General features: G+C 47.9%; 1 long non-coding RNA gene across 1 annotated transcript, besides 6 other annotated features; it reads left to right on the top strand.

Moving 5' to 3' along the window:
• Nucleotides 2,726-2,835: a silencer, noted in NCBI's record as "silent region_5546". NCBI's record gives its function as "represses an Ori minimal core promoter by ATAC-STARR-seq in GM12878 lymphoblastoid cells {active_cell/tissue: GM12878}" and the evidence as "EXISTENCE:reporter gene assay evidence [ECO:0000049][PMID:35858748]".
• Nucleotides 2,846-3,195: a silencer, noted in NCBI's record as "silent region_5545". NCBI's record gives its function as "represses an Ori minimal core promoter by ATAC-STARR-seq in GM12878 lymphoblastoid cells {active_cell/tissue: GM12878}" and the evidence as "EXISTENCE:reporter gene assay evidence [ECO:0000049][PMID:35858748]".
• Nucleotides 2,846-3,654: a biological region, named in NCBI's record as "H3K4me1 hESC enhancer GRCh37_chr13:114047778-114048319".
• Nucleotides 3,113-3,654: an enhancer, noted in NCBI's record as "H3K4me1 hESC enhancer chr13:114047778-114048319 (GRCh37/hg19 assembly coordinates)". NCBI's record gives its function as "activates a minimal SCP1, AML or CMV promoter by ChIP-STARR-seq in naive and primed H9 embryonic stem cells {active_cell/tissue: H9 hESC(naive and primed)}" and the evidence as "EXISTENCE:reporter gene assay evidence [ECO:0000049][PMID:30033119]".
• Nucleotides 17,479-18,463: an enhancer, noted in NCBI's record as "H3K4me1 hESC enhancer chr13:114032969-114033953 (GRCh37/hg19 assembly coordinates)". NCBI's record gives its function as "activates a minimal SCP1, AML or CMV promoter by ChIP-STARR-seq in naive H9 embryonic stem cells {active_cell/tissue: H9 hESC(naive)}" and the evidence as "EXISTENCE:reporter gene assay evidence [ECO:0000049][PMID:30033119]".
• LOC124903218 (uncharacterized) lies at nucleotides 17,656-20,772 on the top strand. The gene is made up of 2 exons (XR_007063881.1): nucleotides 17,656-18,218; nucleotides 20,475-20,772. It is a non-coding gene; the product is annotated as an uncharacterized LOC124903218 (long non-coding RNA).
• Nucleotides 22,972-23,952: an enhancer, noted in NCBI's record as "H3K27ac-H3K4me1 hESC enhancer chr13:114027480-114028460 (GRCh37/hg19 assembly coordinates)". NCBI's record gives its function as "activates a minimal SCP1, AML or CMV promoter by ChIP-STARR-seq in naive H9 embryonic stem cells {active_cell/tissue: H9 hESC(naive)}" and the evidence as "EXISTENCE:reporter gene assay evidence [ECO:0000049][PMID:30033119]".

The raw sequence follows: 24,153 nt of genomic DNA, 5'->3' as shown, positions 1-24,153 counted from the left end.
TGTTGTATTGAAGAGCGGAGAAAGAGCTGTTGAATTCTCTGGATGGCTGTTTCCTTACGGCCTGTACCACTGGAAGTCATGTCTTAATCCCCAACTGGAAGAAGGCGCTCAACCCACCAGCAAATCTGCACGTAGGGAAGAATTTTCCAAATCTTGAAGAAATAAGAACCCAAAAAAAGCACCAAATAAGTTACAGATTTCCATTGCTCAATCAATAATGATGATGATAAAATAATCAAGAAGCCGGGTGCGGTGGCAGCACCTGTGGTCCCAGCTACTCAGGAGGCTGAGGTGGGGGGATCACGTAAGCCTCGGAGTTTGAGGCCAGCCTAGAAACATAGCAAGATCTTGTATCTTAAAAAAAAATGAATAAAATGTTAAAAAATAAAACAAAATAAGAAACTGATGAAATTCTTGGACTTTGATAACGGCAGGAAGCCGCACACATACAGGAAGAACAAAGTCCAGAAAGAGCTGACGGTGGACGCCCAAGAGAAGAGGCGGCTTCTGCGAGCTCTGTGTCGTTAGGAAGGGAACTCGGCTTCATTTCAAATTCCAAAGGGGCTCAAACATATGAATAAGACCCCAGTCTTTCATGGGAGCCCCAAAAGTGGGGCTATTTTTCTACGTTTTGACAGCTCCCCACAACATGAATCCTGTCTTCTCTCTGCACGGCAGTCCCACATCCCACATCCCCAGCCTTCCTTGCTGCTGGGACGCATGCAGCTCTGCCAGGGAGACGCAACCTCCCCAGGCCGGCAGGGCACAGCAGGTTCTGGGCCCACGGTGAGGACGAGCCGGTGATATGGAGTCTCCTGGGTGTGCAGAGAAAGATGTTTCCAGGGAAGCTGAGAGAAGGAAGCTCATTAGCCAGTGCAGAGCTGGGCTTGGAGGCCTTTCCTCTAGTCCTGCAAGGAGCTGGGAGCTGTCACACTGCTCACCATGTCCCTTTCTGCTCAAATTCCCCAGGATGGATTCTGCCCCCTGCACTCAAGAAAACACAGGGGGCCGGGCGCGGTGGCTCACGCCTGTTATCCCAGCACTTTGGGAGGCCAAGAAAGGCGGATCACGAGGTCAGGAGATAGAGACCATCCTGGCTAACACGGTGAAACCCCGTCTCTACTAAAAATACAAAAAAATTAGCCGGGCGTGGTGGTGGGTGCCTGTGGTTCCGGCTACTCGGGAGGCTGAGGCAGGAGAATGGCGTGAACCTGGTAGGCGGAGCTTGCAGTGAGCCGAGATTGTGCCACTGCACTCCAGCCTGGACGACAGAGCAAGACTCCGTCTCAAAAAAAAAAAAAAAAAAAAAAAAAGAACACACAGGGGCGCCCCCATCAAAACCCACAGCAGACGTGCTGTATCGGACCACATACTGGAGCACACGGGGCTGTCCCCATCAACATCCACGGTGGACGTGCCGTATCGGACCACATACTGCGTGCGTGGTGGTCAAAGACATGAAGTTGAACTCTCATGGGTCTATCAAGTTGAGAACCAAAACCCCCAATTTTTAAAAGGAATCGGTAACACTCACTACCTCTGAGGATGTACGGAGACAGTCATTCCTGATGGGACCAAACATTGGCCCTTCCTTTTTATAAAGCAATTTGGCAATAATGTCAAGAACCTTTAGAAGGGGTGGCTCCTCAGCCCAGCAATTCCAGCTTTGAGAAACTGTATTTAGGAAAAGCAATCTGTCCAGCGTGGTACTACTCAAGATACAGCCATAAGTGACACAAATGTCCACCAATTAAGAGATTAGTTGGCCAGGCGCGGTGGCTCACGCCTGTAATCCCAGCACTTTGGGAGGCCGAGGCGGGCGGATCACGAAGTCAGGAGTTCAAGACCAGCCTGGCCAACACAGTGAAACCCCGTGTCTACTAAAAATACAAAAAATTAGCTGGGCGTGGTGGCGGGCACCTGTAATCCCAGCTACTAGGGAGGCTGAGGCAGGAGAATCGCTTGAACCCAGGAGGCGGAGGTTGCGGTGAGACGAGATCACACCATTGCACTCCAGCCTGGGCAACATTGCAAGACTCCCTCTCAAAAAAAAAAAAGAGATTAGTTAAATAAAGTGTGGTGTCTTATTCAGTGAAATAGCAGTCATTTAAAATTAGCTGAGGAAGAACTTTGTGAAATGGAAAATATTGTACCATTTAATGTTTAAAATCCAATATAAGGCCGGGCGCAGTGGCTCATGCCTGTAATCCCAGCACTTTGGGAGGCCAAGGAGGGTGGATCACCTGAGGTCAGGAGTTCGAGATCAGCCCGGCCAACATGGGGAAACCCCATCTCTACTAAAAATACAGAAATTAGCTGGACATGGTGGCGGCGGACGCCTGTAATCCCAGCTACTCAGGAGGCTGAGGCAGGAGAATCGCTTGAACCCAGGAGGCAGAGGTTACAGTGAGCCGAGATGGCGCCATTGCACTCCAGCCTGGGCAACAAGAGTGAAGCTACACCTCAAAAAGAAAAAAAAAATCCAGTATAAAATAGTAGATTCAAATATGTAAATACGTGTGAAGGGGGCAAAGAAAGAGAAACGCGAAAAAAGGTGAGCAGTGGTTATCCACGAACACCCGATGTGTAGGTGTGTTTTCCCGTCGTTATCTGTCACTGCTTTCTGCGTTAATTTAAATGCACTTGCATCACTTTCAGGATCAGAAAATAAAGGCCTATGTGTGACCCTGGGGCGCTGGCGGGGGCTGGACGGAGGCCCAATGCCCCTGTTGCCCATTGTCTCCAGGCTTCTCCAGGACTCGGCTTCCCGCCTCTCCTTTGGGGACCGCACGAGTCACTGGGGGAGGCTCCGCGGGCAGCAGGTCTCTGGGAGGGGTTGTCGCCCCCTCGGTGCGCAGGGGAGCGACGGGTCCCTCCTGCACCTGCAGGGACAGGCCTCGGGCTGCACCGTCCCGCGCCCGCCTACCCCGCGCCCGCCTCGCCGGACGCCTCCTGCCTGAGTCCGCCAGGGGGCGCTGCCGGCCTCCCGGGCGGCGGCTGCTGCAAGAGGAAGCCCCGGCCCGCGAGCTGCTGCCACATCCGGACGCCGCCGGGAGCCGCCGGGAGCCGCCGGGGTGGGCGGGAGTCGGGGCGGCGCGCAGGTTCCCGGCCCCCTAAGGGACGGTTGCCTTCCCCAGAGCCGGGGACACAGGCGTACGTGCGGGGACCTCGGCGCTGGCCTCCGGGCTTCTGGAGCCCCTCCCTGGTGCGGAGCGGGGACGGTGACCTCCTCGTGGATTCTGGGAGGGGCAGCCTTGGCATCAGGACCTGGAAGCCGGAGAGGCTGCAGGGCTTCCAGCCATGGCCTTGCCACCGGAGGTCACGTAGTGTTTCCACATTTCCTTAGTGTGTACATGTGTGGGTCCCTGTGTTGTGGAGGGCTGTGTCTGCTTGGTGTGTGTGCACACGCGTGTGTGCATGGGTGGGTCCCTGTGTTGTGTAGGGGCCGTGTCTGCTTGGTGTGTGTGCACACGCGTGTGTGCATGGGTGGGTCCCTGTGTTGTGGAGGGCTGTGTCTGGGCAGGCTGTGTACACACCCATGTGCATGTGTGATGCGCACTGGGGCACTTGTCTGGGTAGTAGAGGTGGAGGCCTGTGTGGCCATATGTGCAACTGTGTGTCCGGGTGCGTGTACCACAGTCTTCCCTAAAATAGTAATACTGGGACCTACGTCATGGGGCTGTTGTGACCGCGTGTGGCACTCCATGTGGGGTGGCACAGCCAGGCGCTGATCCGGCCACTTTGCCAGTCGGACTGACTGCGTGTCCTCTCCTTAGGGGTGAGAAGCTTCCTGGCATCGGGCCTGGGCTCCTGAGCCCCTGAGCCAACCGACTGATGGTCCCTGGGAGACAGCCCCCGCCCTGCTCCTGCCCCCCACACCTGAAAGGCTCATTGTGTGGGTTTGCTGTGCTCCACAGGGATGTAAACCGCCCCTCCTTTTCCCTGTTCTGTCTGTGAGAAGGTGCCAGGGATACTTTTTTTTTTTTTTGAGACCAAGCTTCACTCTTATTGCCCAGGCTGGAGCGCAATGGCGCGATCTCGGCTCACTGCAACCTCCACCTCCCAGGTTCAAGCGATTCTCCTGCCTCAGCCTCCCGAGTAGCTGGGATTATAGGCATGTGCCACCACACCTGGCTAATTTTTTTTTTTCAGCAGAGATGGAGTTTTCTCCATGTTGGTCAGGCTGGTCTCGAACTCCTGACCTCAGGTGATCCGCCGGCCTCAGCGTCCCAAAGTTCTGGGATTGCAGGCGTGAGCCACCGTGCCCAGCCCGTTTTTTTTAAGAGTCGGGGTTTCACTTTATCGCCCAGACTGGAGTGCAGTGGTGCAATCATGGCTCACTGCAGCCTCAACCTCCTGGGCTCAAGCAATTCTCCCGCCTCAGCCTCCTGAGTAGCTGGGATCACAGGTATGCACTAATTTTTGTATTTTTTTGTAGAGACAGGGTCTTGCTATGTTGTCCAGGCTGGTCTTGAACTCCTGGGCTCAAGCAATCCTCCTACCTTAGCCTCCCAAAGTGCTGAGATTACAGGCGTGACCCACGGCCCCCAGCCAGGGATACTTATGGAGGTCCCTGGGCAGTTCAGGTAAAGAGGATCCCACTGCCAGGCACGGAGGCTCATGCCTGTAATCCCAGCATTTTGGGAGGCTAAGGCAGGAGGATGAGTTGCGCCCAGGAGGTTGAGGCTGCAGTGAGCCAAGATTGTACCACTGCACTCCAGTCTGGGCAACAGAGCAAGACCCTGTCTTAATAAAAGAAAAAAGAAAGAAAAAAAAAGGCCGGGCGCGGTAGCTCACACCTGTAATCCCAGCACTTTGGGAGGCTGAGGCGAGTGGATCGCTTGAGCTCAAAAGTTCAAAACCAGCCTGGCCAACATGGCAAAACCCCATCTCTACAAAAAGTTAGCTGGGCATGGTGGCAGGCACTTGTGGTCCCAGCTACTTGGGAGGCTGAGACAGGAGAATTGCTTGAACCCAGAAGGCAAAGCTGGCAGTGAGCTGAGATGGTGCCACTGCACACCGGCCTAGGCAACAGAGTGAGTGAGACTTCAACAGGATTCATGAGAAGAGTCTGTTTTTAAAGCACACCTTCCTCTTCTAGGACTTTGATAGAAGGAGGTTAAAGTGCTCTGTTTCTGTGTCTTCTGAGAGGGTGGCCGCTCCCAGGGCATACAGCCCTCACCATTTCCCCCTTTGATGGACAGAGATGAGTTTCTTCTTAGCAGACTTTGGCCCACCAAGCCAGAAATGTGTCCAAGAAAAGCTCAAGGAGGAAAGAGAGTCAACCAAATTCACTTTCGGAGCACCTCCCACAGTAGAGAGGTTACGCGGGCTACAAAATTGTATGAAAACCTCCCTACCCTGGAACTTGGGTGAAGCTTGAGGACACCATGCTGAGTGAAATTAGCCAGACACAGAAGGACAAATTCTGTGGGATCCCACTTACGTAAGGGTGACAAGAAGGAAGAGGCTGAGGTGCAAATTATGATTTAAAGAGTTGACTTGAGCCAAGGTGAGGACAGCTGCCTGGGAGACTCGAGTGGCCTTGGATATGAGCCCCATTAGGCCTTTATTACAATCAGGATTTTAAAGGCAAAAAGGGGAACAGGGAGTGGCTGATACAAAGTTGTTTTTCAGGAATTCTTGTTGGTTGACAGAAATAACATTGATTAGTGATGGGCTGTGCACCGTTGAGCTGCAGGGTGTGGGTTGCAGGGTGGGGGATGGCATTGTTAGGTTAATTCACAGCTAGCAAGTTCCAAGACATCAACACACAGCTCAATGTGTTGGAGGGAGATATCTGCAGTTGTTACCAGACAGGGGTCCCGATCCAGACCCCCAGAGGGCGTTCTTGGATCTCGCGCAAGAAAGAATTCAGAGCGAGTCCATAGAGACAAGTGAAACCAGTTTATTAAGAAAATAAAGAAATAAAGAATGGCTACTCCATAGGCGAGCAGCTGAGGGCTGCTGGTTGCCCATTTTTATGGTGATTTCTTGATGATATGCTAAACAAGGGGTGGATTATTCATGCTCCCCTTTTTAGACCATATAGGGTAACTTCCTGACGTTGCCATGGCATCTGTAAACTGTCACGGAGCTGGTGGGAGTGTAGCAGTGAGGATGACCAGAGGTCACTCTTGTGGCCATTTTGGTTTTGGTGGGTTTGGCCGGCTTCTTTGCTGCAACCTGTCTTATCAGCAAGGTCTTTATGATCTATATCTTGTGCCAATCTCCTATCTCATCCTGTGACTTAGAATGTCTCACTTCCTGGGAATGCCGTCCAATAGGTCTCAGCCTCATTTTACCCAGCTCCTACTCAAGATGGAGTTGCTCTGGTTCAAACATGCCTGACATTTTCTCTTTCCCTTTTATAAGAGAACCCTTAATCCTAAGAGTTGCAGGGGGATGAAGATCCATCTTCTGTAACTTCTTCAGGCTGAATAGGGGCGATGACATTCCTGCCTAACTATTAGGGTCCCTTGTGTTCAGGGTAGAGAGGAGCACAGTCAGAAGGCATCAGTGTGGTGAGGGCTATTCATAACTCTTAAGTTCCAACAAAAGGTGATATCTGGGCAATTAATAAGTGTTCAGTTTAAGAAAACATTGAGCAAGTTTATTTTGCATACCTACACAGAGTACAACAACAATATATTCCACAATAGTAAAGCAAAATAAGTACAATTATTCCAAGTAAACTAAATTAGAAGGCTTTTCATGAACTGGGCAACTATTGGAACCAAGATGATGTGAGGTTGCTAGCCAATTCTAGTGTGCCCAGAATTAGAATATTGATTCAGATTTTTACATTACCCATCCCTCTTATTTCTTCTGAGCAGCAGTCAGAGTTCACTGGTTGGTTCACAGGAATAAGCAAGGTTAGCCTAAATTCCAGAAGCAAATCTAAAAACAACTGATGAGACTAGAATTTAAAAACAACATACCACAGTTCCTGAAACATAATATTTCTCTCTCTAGTTTCCCATTTTTACTAAAGGCAAATCATGGTAAGACTGATTTACTTTATTATACTTGGCCTGATTATTTGTATAAAGGGCAGCAAGAATATTTTTCACATAGGTTCTTTTTAAATTGGCTTTGATGGAACTCTGTTCCGTAGAAGGAATCTTAGCTAAGACTCTTTTAGAACTGAGCCCCGCCATGGGTTTGTACCCTCAAATACCTGTAAGTTGAGTAAATTTCTCTCCTCTTGAGTTTCCAAGATAACTTGGGGCTCCTGGGCCTGTGAGAAAGTGACTTTTTTTTTTTTTGAGACCGAATCTCGCTCTGTTGCCCAGGCTGGAGTGCAGTGGCATGATCTCTGCTCACTGCAAGCTCCGCCCCCCCGGGTTCATGCCATTCTCCTGCCTCAGCCTCCTGAATAGGTGGGACTACAGGTGCCCGCCACCATGCCCCGCTAATTTTTTGTATTTTTAGTAGAGACAGGGTTTCACCATCTTAGCCAAGATGGTCTCAATCTCCTGACCTCATGATCCACCCGCCTCAGCCTCTCAAAGTGCTGGGATTACAGGCATGAGCCACCGCACCCAGCATAAAGTGACATTCTTTACTTACCACGGGTCAGGAACTCTGTATAAGGACTGTGGAGAGAACGTATCAGGTCAGTTTTCCCAAGGGGCTTTATCAGCTCTATAAGTCACGTTTAATTTCTTAAAGGAAAACACATCATTCTAGTCAAATCCTTGGTAAAATAAGCAGTTTCTCCAATTGTGTCCTGTTGCAAAAGAAAACAGATTCCTGGCCAGGCACAGTGGCTCACACCTGTAATCCCAGCGCTTTGGGAGGCCGAGGCAGGCAGACCACCTGAGGTCAAGAGTTCAAGACCAGCCTGGCCAACATGGTGAAACCTCATCTCTACTACAAATACAAAAATTAGCCAGGTGTGGTGGCTGGCACCTGTAATCCCAGCTACTTGGGAGGCAGAGACAGGAGAATTGCTTGAACCTGGGAGGCGGAGGTTGCAGTGAGCCGAGATCATACCATTGCACTCCAGCCTGGGCAACAGAGCAAGACTCTGTCTCAAAAAAAAAAAAAAAAAAGAAAACAGATTCTTATTGCACTTATGCAAATAGCTATATTGCCATAAATTAAGAATACTCACAACTAGTTCCCAAATTTTGGAGAAATTAGGTAGAGAGAAACAAATATGCTCCAAATTTTATTCATACAAGTATACTTATTCAATTGTTAAAAGCTATAACTCGCTCAAAAGTTTCCTTGATTCTGAAAAACAAAACAAAGGATCAGCAATATTTTAAGCAAAAAGTTAAAAAGATTACTTCTGGTTTCTATTAGTTTAGTCCATGTAGTTAACTTCTGTTTGATATTCATGGACATTTCAGCTCTCCATAAGAATTCTAAAAGTTTTTTCCTCTATTCTGATGTCACCATCACCAGTTATCGGAAACCTGCACTCAAGAACATCTGTCAAAGTCCTGTAGCTGATTATAAACCACCTTCTAAAGAGGACCAAAACAAGACAACCATTGTTTGTGGATGACAAAACATCTTCGGACAGCCATCATTAAAGCCACAACTGATAAGGAAATTTGATTACTTCTGTGGCATACAAAATTTTACATAACAATTATATCTATTAATAACATACACTAAATCATGTGAGAATTATAGGAGTTTTAAAAGTAATTTTGGAACACATACCAATAACACATTTATATATACAAATACAGCCCAAAGAAAACCAAATACCATTTTATATTTGACAATGCTTCCTGTAAGATTCTTGTACCAAGCCAGGTGTGGTGGATCATGCCTGTAATCCCAGCACTTTGGGAGGCTGAGGTGGGTGGATTGCCTGAGGTCAGGAGTTCAAGACCAGCCTGACCAACATGCTGAAACCCTGTCTCTACCAAAAATACAAAATTAGCCGGGCATGGTGGCATGAGCCTGTAGTCCCAGCTACTCAGGAGACTGAGGCAGGAGAATTGCTTGAACCCGGGAGGCAGAGGTTGCAGTGAGCCAAGATTGTGCTGCTGCATTCCAGCCTGGGTGACAGAGTGACACTCTGTCTCAAAAAAAAAAAAAAAAAAAAAAGATTCTTGTACCAAATAAGCCAAATGTCATTGTTGCATTAGGGCCCCTAGCCTAATCTACAATCTAATGCTCCAAGGTAGGTGAACTGAACGGTTTTCAAAAGTCAAAGAAGCAGTTTATGACCTTAAAGCATTTAGCAAGCTTAAAATCTGACCTGCATGATTTAGACCAAATGTTTACATTTTTGAAGATATTTTTATTTTACCAATAATCTTTAAAGCTGCCTTTATTTCCCAAAAATTACTTAAGTCACATGAACTAAAAGGCATTATACTTTTAAATTTTCTGATAAAATATCTGATTTAAGGTCTTACTGTTATTAAACCAATTAATCAAAGCTCTTTCATATATAAACATCACACTCATAACACATATAAATACAGACAGAAGATAAAGGACTCATTCCCTAAGCCAGGAATTGGACCCTGAACCCAAGGCACCGCTGTGAAAAGAGAAAGCACAACCACATGGTTACAAGATCCAGCTCCCAAGGACATACAAGGCAGTAAGGAAATCTCATCCAGTTTTTTTCAGGGACCTACAGCATAGTTTATAACTGACCAGTTTGCTAGGCCATCTTGAACAAACCTAAGAATAATTGGTGTTCCTGAGGAATAAGAGAAATCTAAAAGTTTGGAAAATATATTTGGTGGAATAATCGAGGAAAACTCCCCAGCCTTGCTAGAGACCTAGACATCCAAACACAAGAAGCTCAAAGAACACCTGAGAAATTCATTGCAAATAGGTCATCACCTAGGCACATTATCAGGTTATCTAAAGTTAAGACGAAGAAAAGAATCTTAAGAGCTGTGAGAAAAAAGCACCACGTAACCTATAAAGGAAAATCTATGAGACTAACAGCAGATTTCTCAGCAGAAACCCTAAAAGCAAGAAGGGATTGGGAGCCCATCTTCAGCCTCCTCAAACAAAACAATTATCAGCAAAAGAATTTTTTACCCAGTGAAACTAAGCTTCCTAAATAAAGGAAAGATAGGCCTTTTTCAGACAAACAAATGCTGAGAGAATTTGTCATTACCACACCACCACTATAAGAACTACTAAAAGGAGCTGTAAGTCTTGAGACAGATCCTGGAAACACATCAAAACAGAATCTCTTTAAAGCATAAATCTCACAGCACTTATAAAACAGAAATACCATAAAAAAAAAACCCCAAGCTATACAAGCAACAAATAGCATGATGAATGGAATGGTACCTCACATCTCAATACTAACATTAAATGTAAATGGTCTAAATGCTCCACTTAAAAGATACAGAATTGCAGAATGGATAAGAACTCACCAACCAACTATCTGCTGCCTCAAGAGACTCACCTAACATGTAAGGACTCACATAAACTTAAGGTAAAGGGGTGGAAAAGACATTCCATGCAGATGGACACCAATAGGGAGCAGGAGTAGTTATTGTTATCTCAGACAAAACAAACTTTAAAGCAACAGCAGTTAAAAAACAGAAAGAGGGAAATTATATAATGATAAAAGGCCTTGTCCAACAGGAAAATATCACAGTCCTAAATATATATGCACTTAACACTGGAGCTCCCAAGTTCATAAAACCAGGACTAATAGACCAAAGAAATGAGATACACAGCAACACAATAATAGTGGGGGACCTCAATACTGCACTGACAGCACTAGACAGATCATCAAGACAGAAAGTCGACAAAGAAACAATTTAACACATTTAAACTATACCCTGGAACAAGTGGACTTAACAGATATATACAGAACATTCTACCCACCAACCACAGAATATACATTCTATTCAACAGTACATGGAACTTTCTTCGAGGTAGACCATACGATAGGCCACAAAATGAGCCTCAATAAATTTAAGAAAATTGAAATTATATCAAGCACTCTCTCAGACCACAGTGGAATAAAACTGGAAATCAATTCCAAAAGGAACCTTCAACACCATGCAAATACATGGAAATTAAATAACCTGCTCCTGAATGATCATTGAGTCAAAAATGAAATCAAGATGAAAATCAAAACATTCTCTGGCCAGGCACAGTGGCTCATGCCTATAATCCCAGCACTTTGGGAGGCCGAGGTGGGTGGATCATGAAGTCAGGAGTTTGAGACCAGCCCGACCAACATGGTGAAACCCTGTCTCTACTAAAAATACAAAAATTAGCCAGGTGTGGTGGTGGGTGCCTGTAATCCCAGCTACTCAGGAGGCTGAGCAGGAGAATCACTTGAACCCAGGAGGCGGAGGTTGCCGAGATCACGTCATTGCATGCCAGCCTGGGCGACAGGGCGAGACCCCGTTTCAAGAAAAAAAAAAAAAATTCTCCGAACTGAACGACGATAGTGACACAACCTATCAAAACCTCTAGGATACAGCAAAGGCGGTGCTAAGAGGAAAGTTCAAAGCCCTAAACGCCTACATCAAAAAGTCTGAAAGAGCACAAACAGACAATCTAAGGTCACGCCTCAAGGAACTAGAGAAACAAGAACAAACCAAACCCAAACCCAGCAGAAGAAAGGAAATAACTGAGATCAGAGCAGAACTAAATGAAATTGAAACAAAAAAAAAAATAGAAAAGATAAATAAAAAGCTGGTTCTTTGAAAAGATAGAATTGATAGACCATTAGCAAGATTAACCAAGAAAAGAAAAGAGAAAATCCAAATAAGATCAATTAGAAACAAAACGAGAGATATTACAACTGACACCACAGAAATACAAAAGATCATTCAAGGCTACTGTGAACACCTTTATGCACATAAACTAGAAAACCTAGAGAATATGGATAAATTCCTGGAAAAATACAACTCTCCTAGCTTAAATCAGGAAGAACTAGATACCACAAACAGACCAGTAACAAGCAGCGAGATTGAAATGGTAATTTAAAAATTACCAACAAAAAAAAAGTCCAGGACCAGATGGATTCACGGCAGAATTCTACCATTCAAAGAAGAATTGGTACCAATCCTATTGACACTATTACACAAGATAGAGAAAGAGGGAACCCTCCCTAAATCATTCTATAAAGCTGGTATCACCCTAATACCAAAATCAGGAAAGGACATAACCAAAAAAGAAAACTACAGACCAATATCCCTGATGAACATAGATGCTAAAATCCTTAACAAAACACTAGCTAAGCAAATCTAACAACATATCGAAAAGTTAATCCATCATGATCAAATGGGTTTCATACCAGGGATGCAGGGATGGTTTAACATATGCAGGTCATTGGGCATGGTGGCTCACACCTGTAATACCAGTGCTTTGGGAGGCCGAGGTGGGTGGATCATGAGGTCAGGAATTCGAAACCAGCCTGACCAAGATGGTGAAACCCCATCTCTACGAAAAAAAAATACAAAAATTAGCTAGGCGTGGCGGCACATGCCTGTAGTCCCAGCTACTTGGGAGGCTGAGGCAGGAGAATCACTTGAACCCAGGAGGCGGAGGTTGTGGTGAGCCAAGATCGTGCCATTGCACTCCAGCCTGGGCGACAAGAGTGAAACTCTGTCTAAAACAAACAAACAAAAAACCTACGCAGGTCAATAAATGTGATACACCACATAAACAGAATTAAAAACAAAAATCACATGATCATCTCAATAGATGCAGAAAAAGCATTCAACAAAATTCAGCATCCCTTTATGATTAAAACTCTCAGCAAAATCAGCATACAAGGGACATACCTCAATGTAATAAAAGCCATCTATGACACACCCACAGCCAACATAATACTGAATGGGGAAAAGTCGAAAGCATTCCCTCTGAGAACTGAAACAAGACAAGGATGTCCACTCCTCTTCAACATAGTACTGGAAGTCCTAGCCAGAGCAATCAGATAAGAGAAAGAAAGAAAGGGCATCCAAATCAGTAAAGACGAAGTCAAACTGTCACTGTTTGCTGATGATATGATTGTTACCTAGAAAACCCTAAAGACTCCTCTAGAGAGCTCCTAGAACTGATAAAAGAATTCAGCAAAGTTTCCAGATACAAAATTAATGTACACAAATCAGTAGCTCTTCTATACACCAACAGTGACCAAGCAGAGAATCAAATCAAGAACTCAACCTCTTTTACAATAGCTGCAAAAAAAAACAAAAAAAAACAACTTAGGAATATACCTAACCAAGAAGGTGAAAGACCTCTACATGGAAAACTACAAAACACTACTGAAACAAATCATAGATAACACAAACAAATGGAAACACATCCCATGCTCATCGTTGGGTAGAATCAATATTGTTAAAATGACCATAGTGCCAAAAGCAGTCTACAAATTCAACGCAATTCCCATCAAAATAGCACCATCATTCTTCAAAGAATTAGAAAAACAATCCTAAAATTCATGTGGAACCAAAAAAGGGCCCTCATAGCCAAAGCAAGACTAAGCAAAAAGAACAAATCTGGAGGTATCACATTACCTGATTTCAAACTATAATGTGAGGCCGTAGTCACCAAAACAACACGGTACTGGTACAAAAGTAGGCACATAGACCAATGGAACGCAATAGAGAACCCAGAAATAAACCCGAATACTTACAGCCAACTGATCTTCAACAAAGCAAACAAAAACATACAGTGAGGAAAGGACACCCTATTCAACAAACGGTGCTGGGATAATTGGCAAGCCACAAGGAGGAGAATGAAACTGGATCCTTATCTCTCATTTTATACACAAATCAACTCCAGATGGATCAAGGACTTAAATCTAAGACCCGAAACTATAAAAAGTGAGAAAGATAACATTGGAAAACCCCTTCTAAACATTGGCTTGGGCAAGGATTTCATGACCAAGAACCTAAAAGCAAATGCAATAAAAACAACCATGAATAGCTGGGAGTTAATTAAAGAGCTTTTGCACAGCAAAAGGAACAATCAGAGGGCCGGGCGCAGTGGCTCACGCCTGTAATCGCAGCACTTTGGGAGGCCGAGGCGGGCAGATCACCTGAGGTCGGGAGTTTGAGACCAGCCTGACCAACATGGAGAAACCCCATCTCTCATTAAAAGAAAATACAAAATGAGCTGGATGTGGTGGTGCATGCCTGTAATCCCAGCTACTTGGAAGGCTGAGGCAGGAGAATTGCTTGAACCTAGGAGGTGGAGGTTGCGGTGAGCTGAGATTGTGCCATTGCACTCCAGCCTGGGCAACAAGAACGAAACTCCGTCTCAAAAAAAAAAAAAAAAAGGAACAGTCAGCAGAGTAAACAAACAACTGACAGAGTAGGAGAAAATCTTCACAATCTATACATCTGACTAACATCCAGAATCTACAACAAACTCAAACAAATTAGCAAGAAAAAAAAAAAACAATTCCATCAAAAAGTGGGCTAAGGACATGAATAGACAAGTCTCAAAAGAAGATATACAAATGGCCAACAAATATATGGAAAAATGCTCAACATCACTAATGATCAGGGGAATGCAAATCAAAACCACAATGCAATACCACCTTACTCCTGCAAGAATGGCCATAATCAAAACATCAAAAAGTGATAGAAGTTGGTATGGATGCGGTGAACAGGGAACACTTCTATACTGCTGGTGGGAATCTAAACTAGCACAACCATTATGGAAAACAGTGTGGAGATGCCTTAAAGAACTAAAAGTAGAACAACTGTTTGGTCCAGCAATCCGACTACTGGGTATCTACCCAGAGGAAAAGAAGTCATTATACAAAAAAGATACTTGCACATGCCTGTTTAGAGCAGCACAATTTGCAATTGCAAAATGTGGAACCAGCCCAAATGTGCCCATCAACTAACGAGTGGATAAAGAAACTGTGATATATATATATATGATGGAATACTACTCAGCTATAAAAAGAAATGAATTGGCCGGGCACGGTGGCTCAAGCCTGTAATCCCAGCACTTTGGGAGGCCAAGGCGGGCAGATCACGAGGTCAGGAGATCCAGACCATCCCGGCCAACATGGGAAAACCCCGTCACTACTAAACATACAAAAATTAGCTGGGAGTGGTGGTGCGTGCCCGTAATCCCAGCTACTTGGGAGGCTGAGGCAGGAGAATCGCTTGAACCCGGGAGGCAGAGGTTGCAGCAAGCCAAGATTGAGCCATTGCACTCCAGCCTGGTGACAGAGCGAGACTCCATCTCAAAAAAAGAAAGAAAGAAAGAAAGAAATGAATTAATGGCATTCACAGCAACCTGGATGAGATTGGAGACTCTTATTCTAAGTGAAGTAACTCAGGAATGGAAAACCAAACATGATACGTTCTCACTCATAAGTGGGAGCTAAAACATGAGGATGCAGAGGCATAAATAAGAATGACACGAAGGGGAGGGCGCGGTGGCTCACGCCTGCAATCCCAGCACTTTGGGAGGCTGAAGTGGGCGGATCACAAGGTCAGGAGTTTAAGACCAGCCTGGCCAATATGGTGAAACCCCATCTGTACTAAAAATACAAAAATTAGCCGGGCATGGTCGTGGGTGCTTGTAGTCCCAGCTACTTGGGAAGCTGAGGCAGGAGAATCGCTTCAACCTGGGAGGTGGAGGTTGCAGTGAGCTGAGATTGAGCCACTGCACTCTTGTCTGGGTGACAGAGTGAGACTCTGTCTCAAAAAAAAAAAAAGAAAGTAAAGAAATAAAGAATGGCTGCTCCATAGGCAGAGCAGCTGAGGGCTGCTGGTTGGTTGCCCATTTTTATGGTGATGTCTTGATGATATGCTAAACAAGGGGTGGATTATTCATGCTCCCTTTTTAGACCATATAGGGCAACTTCCTGACGTTGCCATGGCATCTGTAAACTGTCACGGAGCTGGTGGGAGTGTAGCAGTGCCGACCATCAGAGGTCAGGTTTGTGGTCACCAGAGGTCAGGTTTGTGGTCACCAGAGGTCACTCTTGTCGCCAGTTTGGTTTTGGTGGGTTTGGCCAGCTTCTTTTTTTTTTTTTTTTTTTTTTTTTCTGAGACAGAGTTTCGCTCTGTCACCCAGGCTGGAGTGCAGTGGCACAGTGGCGCGATCTCGGCTCACTGCAAGCTCCGCCTCCCGGGTTCAAGCAATTCTCCTGCGTCTGCCTCCCGAGTAGCTGGGACTACAGGCGCCCGCCACCACGCCTGGCTAATTTTTTTGTATTTTTAGTAGAGACAGGGTTTCACTGTGTTAGCCAGGATGGTCTCGATCTCCTGACCTCGTGATCCGCCCGCCTCAGCCTCCCAAAGTGCTGGGATTACAGGTGTGAGCCACCACGCCCGGCCAGGGTTTAGCCGGCTTCTTTACTGCAACCTGTCTTTATGACCTGTATCTTGTGCTGACCTCCTATGTCATCCTGTGACTTGGAATGTCTAACCTCCTGGGAATGCAGTCCAGAAGGTCTCAGCCTTTTACCCAACTCCCATTCAGGATGGTGTTGCTCTGGTTCAAACGCCTCTAACCCAGTCCTATTTTAATGTTTCTCTGGGCCTGATCATTGGAAAGGATTTGCCTTCCTCAGATGCAAGTTCTTTTCTTTCCTTAGCACGGTCCTCAGAGGAGTGAAATCCACTGAGACATAAATGAGAAGGTGGGTGCTAGGTGCTGGGGAAGGGAGTGGGGAGTGTGTGATCAGTGGGTCCAGAGTTCACTTCGGGAGGATGGAAAGTTCTGGAGAGGACAGTGGTGTTGGCTGCACTTCATGCCGCTGAACTGCAAGCTTCAAATGGTTAAGATGGTCAATTTTATGTTATATAGATATTGCCAAACGTTAAAAAGGGGAAGGGGACAGCATGCGGGCCTATCTCTGACGGACAGGGAGGAGACGCCTGCTGAGTGAAGGGGAACCACCGCAGGAGGCAGGGAGGGGTCAGCCAGCATCCACTCCCTCCACAGCTGAAGGCTGCAGCTCCAGGCGGTGAGGGGCGGCTCCTACCTGCCGGGAGCTGGTTGTTGATAAATGTCAACGGCCTCTAAAAATAAACACCCTCCTCCTGGACTTACGCCTCTCTGGGCCGCTTGTTTAATTATTCTTTCCTAAGTGGCTCCCGCAAACAAATCTGTGGCTATGAGCATAGTTTTTCATACTTATATTATTTTATTAAATTTTATTTTTAATGTACAAATAATAATTGCATATTTTTAATTGATTTGGCTCCTTGGGGTCATTTTGAACAATTTGCTTTGGCCCTACCTGAAGGACCTGGGAATGTGCGTGTAACTAGCTTTACACACTTTTGCACCACAAACTTCAGTTTTTGCTGATCCCCTGCCACCGAGGGATTGGAGAAAATCTCAGGATGCTTGTAGATTATTCCAAAACAAACAATCAAGCTTCTCACCTTGTTTGGTGGAACTTTTTTTTGACATATTTGTCCCAGAGATTGTACAGAAGAAGCTATTTTGCGTCCCTTTTTTTTTTTTTTTTTTTTTTGAGACGGAGTTCCGCTCTTGTCTCCCAGGCTGGAGTGCAGTGGCACGATCTCGGCTCACTGCAACCTCTGCCTCCCAGGTTCAAGTGATTCTCTGGCCTCAGCCTCCCGAGTAGCTGGAATTATAGGCACCCACCACCACGCCTGGCTAATGTTTGTATTTTTAGTAGAGATGGGGTTTCACCATGTTGGCCAGGCTGGTCTTTAACTCCTGACCTCAGGTGATCCGCCCGCCTCTGCCTCCCAAAGTGCTGGGATTACAGGCGTGAGCCACCGTACCTGGCCTAAAACTGTTTTGCCTCCTAAGAAAAAGCCAAATGGAAGAGAAAGAAAATGCCCCCGACAGCCAAAGAAGCTGAAATTCTCAGAAGCCTAGAGTCGGCTGCTGGAGGATAGAGCCAAAACTGCTCCAACTTCTTCCTGGAAGCGCACGTGGGGTCCCCTGAGACGTCCACTGGCCTGCACGTCACCATGGAATTGCAGGGTTGGGACATTTTCATAGTGAGAAACGCTGAGGAACTCTTGACATGAAAACTCCAGTGGAAGATGGAAACTGTGATGACAGAAATGGCACTGACCAGCCAGGCCCTGCCTGTGCCCTGCTTGGAACATTGATTGACAGAAATGGCGCTGACCAGCCAGGCCCTGCCCGTGCCCTGCTTGGAACATTGATTGACAGAAATGGCGCTGACCAGCCAGGCCCTGCCTGTGCCCTGCTTGGAACATTGATCATGTGTTTGACCTTGACATCAGCTTTCCGACACAAACACAGACTTGGGCACACACAAACACGCCCAGGTAGGAGCAAAACGCCATCATTCTGTTTGGGGTGGTCCCTGATGAATCAGCACAAGTTTGCCGGACGCGGTGGCTCTCATGCCTGTAATCCCAGCACTTTGGGAGGCCGAGGTGGGCAGATCACAAGGTCAGGAGATCGAGACCATCCTGGCTAACACAGCAAAACCCCGTCTCTATTAAAAATACAAAAAATTAGCCAGGCGTGGTGGTGGGCACCTGTAGTCCCAGCTACTCGGGAGGCTGAGGCAGTAGAATGGCGTGAACCTGGGAGGCAGAGCTTGCAGTGAGCAGAGATCGTGCCACTGCTGTCCAGCCTACGTGACAGAGCGGGACTGTCTCAAAAAAAAAAAAGAAGAGGGTAGGGGAAAAGAGTCATTCATGCCTCTGTCTGCCTCAGTGAATCTGTATTTTTACATAAGATCACACAGACAAAATGGGGCAGGGAAACAATTGGGTATGCATTTGTGTCTGATGGGCCATGGGTGACTGCACCTGTAAAGATGAGGAATCAGTTTACATTGCCATAGTGAAATCTTTATGGAAACACCTTAGAGTAAAGATCTCGGAGCTCAGTAAAAATTTCCTTGTGGGCAAAATATTAGGGAGGTATGGAGCTTCTCATCTTGCAGCCATCTTATTTAGAAACCAAAAGGGGAGGCAAGTTTGCATGATCCAGTCCCCAACTTGACTTTTTCCTTTGGCTAAATGAGTTTGGGGTCTCAAGATTTAATTTCCTTTCACAGATCACAGGTGTGAGCTACTGTGCCTGGCCTACGTAACACATTTACTAAACAACCTTGTTCACTACACACTTCCTGGTCACCTTCCCGTTTCTTACCTGCCCTCCAAAAGCCCAAACCCCCTTATCCGTTGTCTAGCCTGAACCCTGACGCAGCCTCAGGAGATCCTGAGGACACAGGCTACAGCGTGGTTTTCTACATTTTAGGGAGACAGGAGACATCATTCAATACATGTAAGGTGAACACTGCGGTCTGGAAAGGCGGGACAACTTGAAGGACGCGGGGGTGGGCTTCAGGTCATAGGTGATTTTCAGATTGTCAGTCGTTTGAAAGAGTTTATCTAAAGGCCAGGAATTGGCCGGGCGCAGTGGCTCACACCTGTAATCCCAGCACTTTGGGAGGCCGAGGGGGGCAGATCACGAGGTCAGGAAATCCAGACCAGCCTGGCCAACATGGTGAAACCCTGTCTCTACTAAAAATACAAAAATTAGCTGGGCCTGGTGGTGCACGCCTGTAATCCCAGCTACTCGGGAGGCTGAGGCAGGAGAATCGCTTGAACCCAGGAGGCAGAGGTTGCAGTGAGCCGAGATCACGCCACTGCATTCCGGCCTGGCGACAGAGTGAGACTCCATCTCAGAAAAAAAAAAAAAAAAAAAAAAGACCTGGAATCAATACAAAGAGGTGTGTCTGGGTTAAGATAAGAGCATGGCCGGGCGCGGTGGCTCACGCCTGTAATCCCAGCACTTTGGGAGGCCGAGGCAGGCGGATCACGAGGTCAGGAGATGGAGACCATCCTGGCTAACACGGTGAAACCCCGTCTCTACTAAAAATACAAAAAATTAGCCGGGCATGGTGGCGGGCACCTGTAGTCCCAGCTACTGAGGAGGCTGAGGCAGGAGAATGGCGTGAACCCGGGAGGTGGAGCTTGCAGCGAGCGGAGATTGAGCCACTGTACTCCAGCCTGGGGCGACAGAGCGAGACTCTGTCTCAAAAAAAAAAAAAAAAAAAAAGAGCTTGTGGAGACCAAGGTTCTTATTATGCAGATGAAGCCTCCAGGTATCAGGCTTCAGAGACAATAGATTGCAAATCTTTCTTTTCAGACTTAAGAAGGCACCAGACCCAGTGAATTCTCTCCTGGATCAGGGGAAAGATTCTGGCCACCTGCTTCGGCCACTTTTTTTTTTTTTTGGCCAGCCACTGTGAATACTTACATAATTAAAATTGTCTTTTTCTCTTGTTAATCTGCCTGATCACGTTGATTCCCAGGTCCAAGGAATTCCCAGGTCCCTCAAGCAATAGATTAGAGGAAGTGTTTTGTTTTGCTTTGACTTCTTCCTCTATATTAGTAAAAGTATGTCTCACTCTGGGTGTCCTGTATTTGCATTTTTATTTGCTAAATCCAGTAACGCTATTCCAGGTGTAAGTAGGTTTCTCTGGACGTACAACTTTCATCTCACGAATCTTTATATTACTGCTCCTAAATTCTAACCTAGACAATGTCATTATTTTTCAACAGTAAAAATAGTCTGAATTAAGCCTTCCAGATGCGTACTCCCTTCTTTCCTGAGGCAGATGAAGTAGAGAAGAATGAAGGCAATTAACAAATCTGGACGAATCCACCCCAGAAGCAGCTCCTGCTGCACCCACCTCAGCAAAGAATCCAGAGGCGACCCCTCCTCTCCATCTGCTCCTCCTCCAGGCCACTGTCCTCTCTAACCCTTCTCACTGGCCCCTGCCTCCACTCTTGTCAGACAGCAAGCTACAGAATAACTGGGGAAATACTTTTTAAAAAAATAAATCAGACCACATCAGGCTCTTCAGCATGGAAATGTGGCCGCAGCCCATGGGCCAGCCCACCAGTGCCGATCATCCCCATCACACCCCATTAGTCCCCATCGGACCCCTTCATCCCCATCAGACTCCATCAGACCCCAACAGACCCCATCAGTCACCACCAGATGCCATCACACCCCATTAGTCCCAATCAGTCCCCATCAGACCCCATCACCCTCATCAGACCCCATCAGACCCATCAGACTCCATCAGTCCCCAGCAGACCCCATGAGTCCCCATGAGTCCCCATCAGACTCCTTCAGTCACCACCAGACCCCGTCATCCCCATCAGACCCCATCAGTCCCCATCAGACTCCATCAGACCCCAACAGACCCCATCAGTCCCCACCAGACTCCATCACACCCCATTAGTCCCCGTCAGTCCCCATCAGATTCCATCAGTCCCCAGCAGACCCCATGAGTCCCCATCAGACCCCATCACACCCCATTAGTCCCCGTCAGTCCCCATCAGACCCCATCAGTCCCCATCAGACTCCATCAGACCCCAACAGACCCCATCAGTCCCCACCAGACTCCATCACACCCCATTAGTCCCCGTCAGTCCCCATCAGACTCCATCAGTCCCCAGCAGACCCCATGAGTCCCCATCAGACCCCATCACACCCCATTAGTCCCTGTCAGTCCCCATCAGACTCCATCAGTCCCCAGCAGACCCCATGAGTCCCCATCAGACCCCATCACACCCCATTAGTTCCTGTCAGTCCCCATCAGACTCCATCAGTCCCCAGCAGACCCCATGAGTCCCCATCAGACCCCATCACACCCCATTAGTCCCTGTCAGTCCCCATCAGACTCCATCAGTCCCCAGCAGACCCCATGAGTCCCCATCAGACCCCATCACACCCCATTAGTTCCTGTCAGTCCCCATCAGACTCCATCAGTCCCCAGCAGACCCCATGAGTCCCCATCAGACCCCATCACACCCCATTAGTTCCTGTCAGTCCCCATCAGACTCCATCAGTCCCCAGCAGACCCCATGAGTCCCCATCAGACCCCATCGCACCCCATTAGTCCCCATCAGTCCCCATCAGACTCCATCAGTCCCCAGCAGACCCCATGAGTCCCCATCAGACCCCATCGCACCCCATTAGTCCCCATCAGTCCCCATCAGACTCCATCAGTCCCCAGCAGACCCCATGAGTCCCCATCAGACCCCATCAGACCCCATCACACCCCATTAGTCCCCATCAGACTCCATCATCCCCATCAGACCCATCAGCCCCATCAGTCTCTGTCAGTTCCCATGAGTCCCCATCAGTCCCCATCAGATGCATCAGAACTTTCTGAGCACGTCATGGAGGATGACATCACACAAACCCCAGCTCTTCTTTTCCTCACATTCGCCTGTGAATCCAGCAGGCCCTGGGTGAGCACCTGCTGTGTTTAGGAGTCGCAGGTCCTATTTTCCAAAGTGCTCATGGCAGCCCCACTCCTCGTAGGCTGTGACTGGCTCCTCTATGGAGGAGAGGGGTCTGTGTTTCTGCTCCTGACTCTGGGTGGCTGTGACTTGGCAGAAGCAACATGGTGACACAGTTTCCTCTTGTCCATCTAGCACACCAGCTCTCCAAGCCCAGCCTCCAGGCAGTGTGTAGGCGTTGCAGACAAGCGTGGGTGGGTGACCCAGTGATGGCACAGCTGAGTGACAGCTGACAGCCACCACTGACCCCAGGTGGGTCATGACCAGCCCTCAGATACCCCTTGGCCCCAGGGGTGTGACCATGATGGCGAGACCCTGAGGACCACCTGGAGGTGCCCAGGCCACCCGGAACCCTGGAAGGGCACAAAGAGAGGAGGGCTCTTGTTCCAACCACAACTCTGGGGCGATTTGTCACACAATGAATAACTGGAACTGTCCTGGGAACTGGGGACTCAGAGATGAGGAAGACGGAGCTGTTGCCAGAGTCCACATTCAGTCCAGAGAGGCAGCAGGAAGACAGACAGCCCCCAGAGATGCTCTGTGCTCAGGCCTGAGGGCTGCAGGGGTAGCAGGCCCCTCCCTGGACCTTCTGGGACGCTGGCGGTGGCTCTGGGGTGCCTGCGGGTGGGTGTGTATCAAGCTGGAGATGCCCATGGAGTGCCCAGGAGTCAGATCCTCAGGTCAGCCATCAGGCAAGAGTCCCCAGCCTCATCTCTCCGGGGATCAATCCGCCATGGTGTGATTAAATCAGTCAGTCCTGGCGCCAAAGAGAAAACAGCCGGTAAGGGACCACAAGGCGCCTGTACGAGTGTGAAGCTGCCGTCCTGGGACTCCAGTGCTGTCCCCTCCAGGGGCTTCCAGCACCGCCCCCCCCCACCCCGACCTTCTCTTACGTGGCACATGAACTTGGAGGATGCGGCTCCAGGTCTGCCCCGTCCTCACACAGGAGCGACTGAAGCACAGGTGGGCACCCACATCTCATCTGCTGGGTCCCACAGCAAATCCCACCAGGGTTCCTCTGCGACAAACATTTGCTGCCAAGGCTGAGTGGAGGCCAGCCAAGAATGCGGCCAAAGCAAAGTGTGGCTTCTTCTTCTTCTTCTTTTTTTTTTTTGAGATGTAATTTCTCTCTTGTTGCCCAGGCTGGAGCGCGATGGCGCGATCTCAGCTCACGCAACCTCTGCCTCCTGAGTTCTCCTGCCTCAGCCTCCCGAGTAGCTGGGATTACAGGCATGTGCCACCACGTCAGGCTAATTTCGTATTTTTAGTAGAGACAGGGTTGCTCCACGTTGGTCAGGCTGGTCTTGAACTCCTGATCTCAGGTGATCCGCCTGCTTTGGCCTCCCAAAGTGCTGGGATTTCAGGCATAAGCCACCGCGCCCAGCCAAGCTGGTTGTGGGTCTCTTCTCCCTCCCCCGCTCCCTATCTCAGAGGGAGAAGAGCCAGGGAGGGCCAGGAGGATTCAGGCCTCACTGGGCCCTCCTGCACCCACCCCAGGGTCAGGGGGTCTGAGCAGCATTCTGGGTTTGTAAAGAAACCCCATCTCCAAGAATTCTGGGGAGGAAGCCGTCCAGGGAGTGCTGTCTTGCAGGGTGGCTTGTGAGCGGTTTTATCCCTTCTGTGACAGTCTTCAGTGATGCTGGAAGCCTGGCCCTGCCGGGAGCTCCAGCCCAGCACAGCGCCTGGTGCCTTCCTCACTGTCACTGGACATGAACCCTAGGAGGCAGTGTATGTCCACAGGTCATTTCTCCCTGAGAACTGTCTCAGCTCCAAAATCACTCTTACTGTTTTCCTATAACCCCGCCTGGCTGTCCCTGTGGGCAATTTCAGAGCTACATGTGTGCTGTGTGCATTTCCAGTGGGGAGAGATGGCTTCCTACCTGTTTTCACACTCTTTCTTTAATCCCTGCTCATAAACACTATT

This window comes from Homo sapiens, chromosome 13 (genome assembly GCF_000001405.40).
Source record: "Homo sapiens chromosome 13, GRCh38.p14 Primary Assembly".
NCBI lineage: Eukaryota > Metazoa > Chordata > Mammalia > Primates > Hominidae > Homo > Homo sapiens.
The sequence above is the reverse complement of the archived record's forward strand: the minus strand, read 5'-3'. Positions and strand labels throughout refer to the sequence as shown.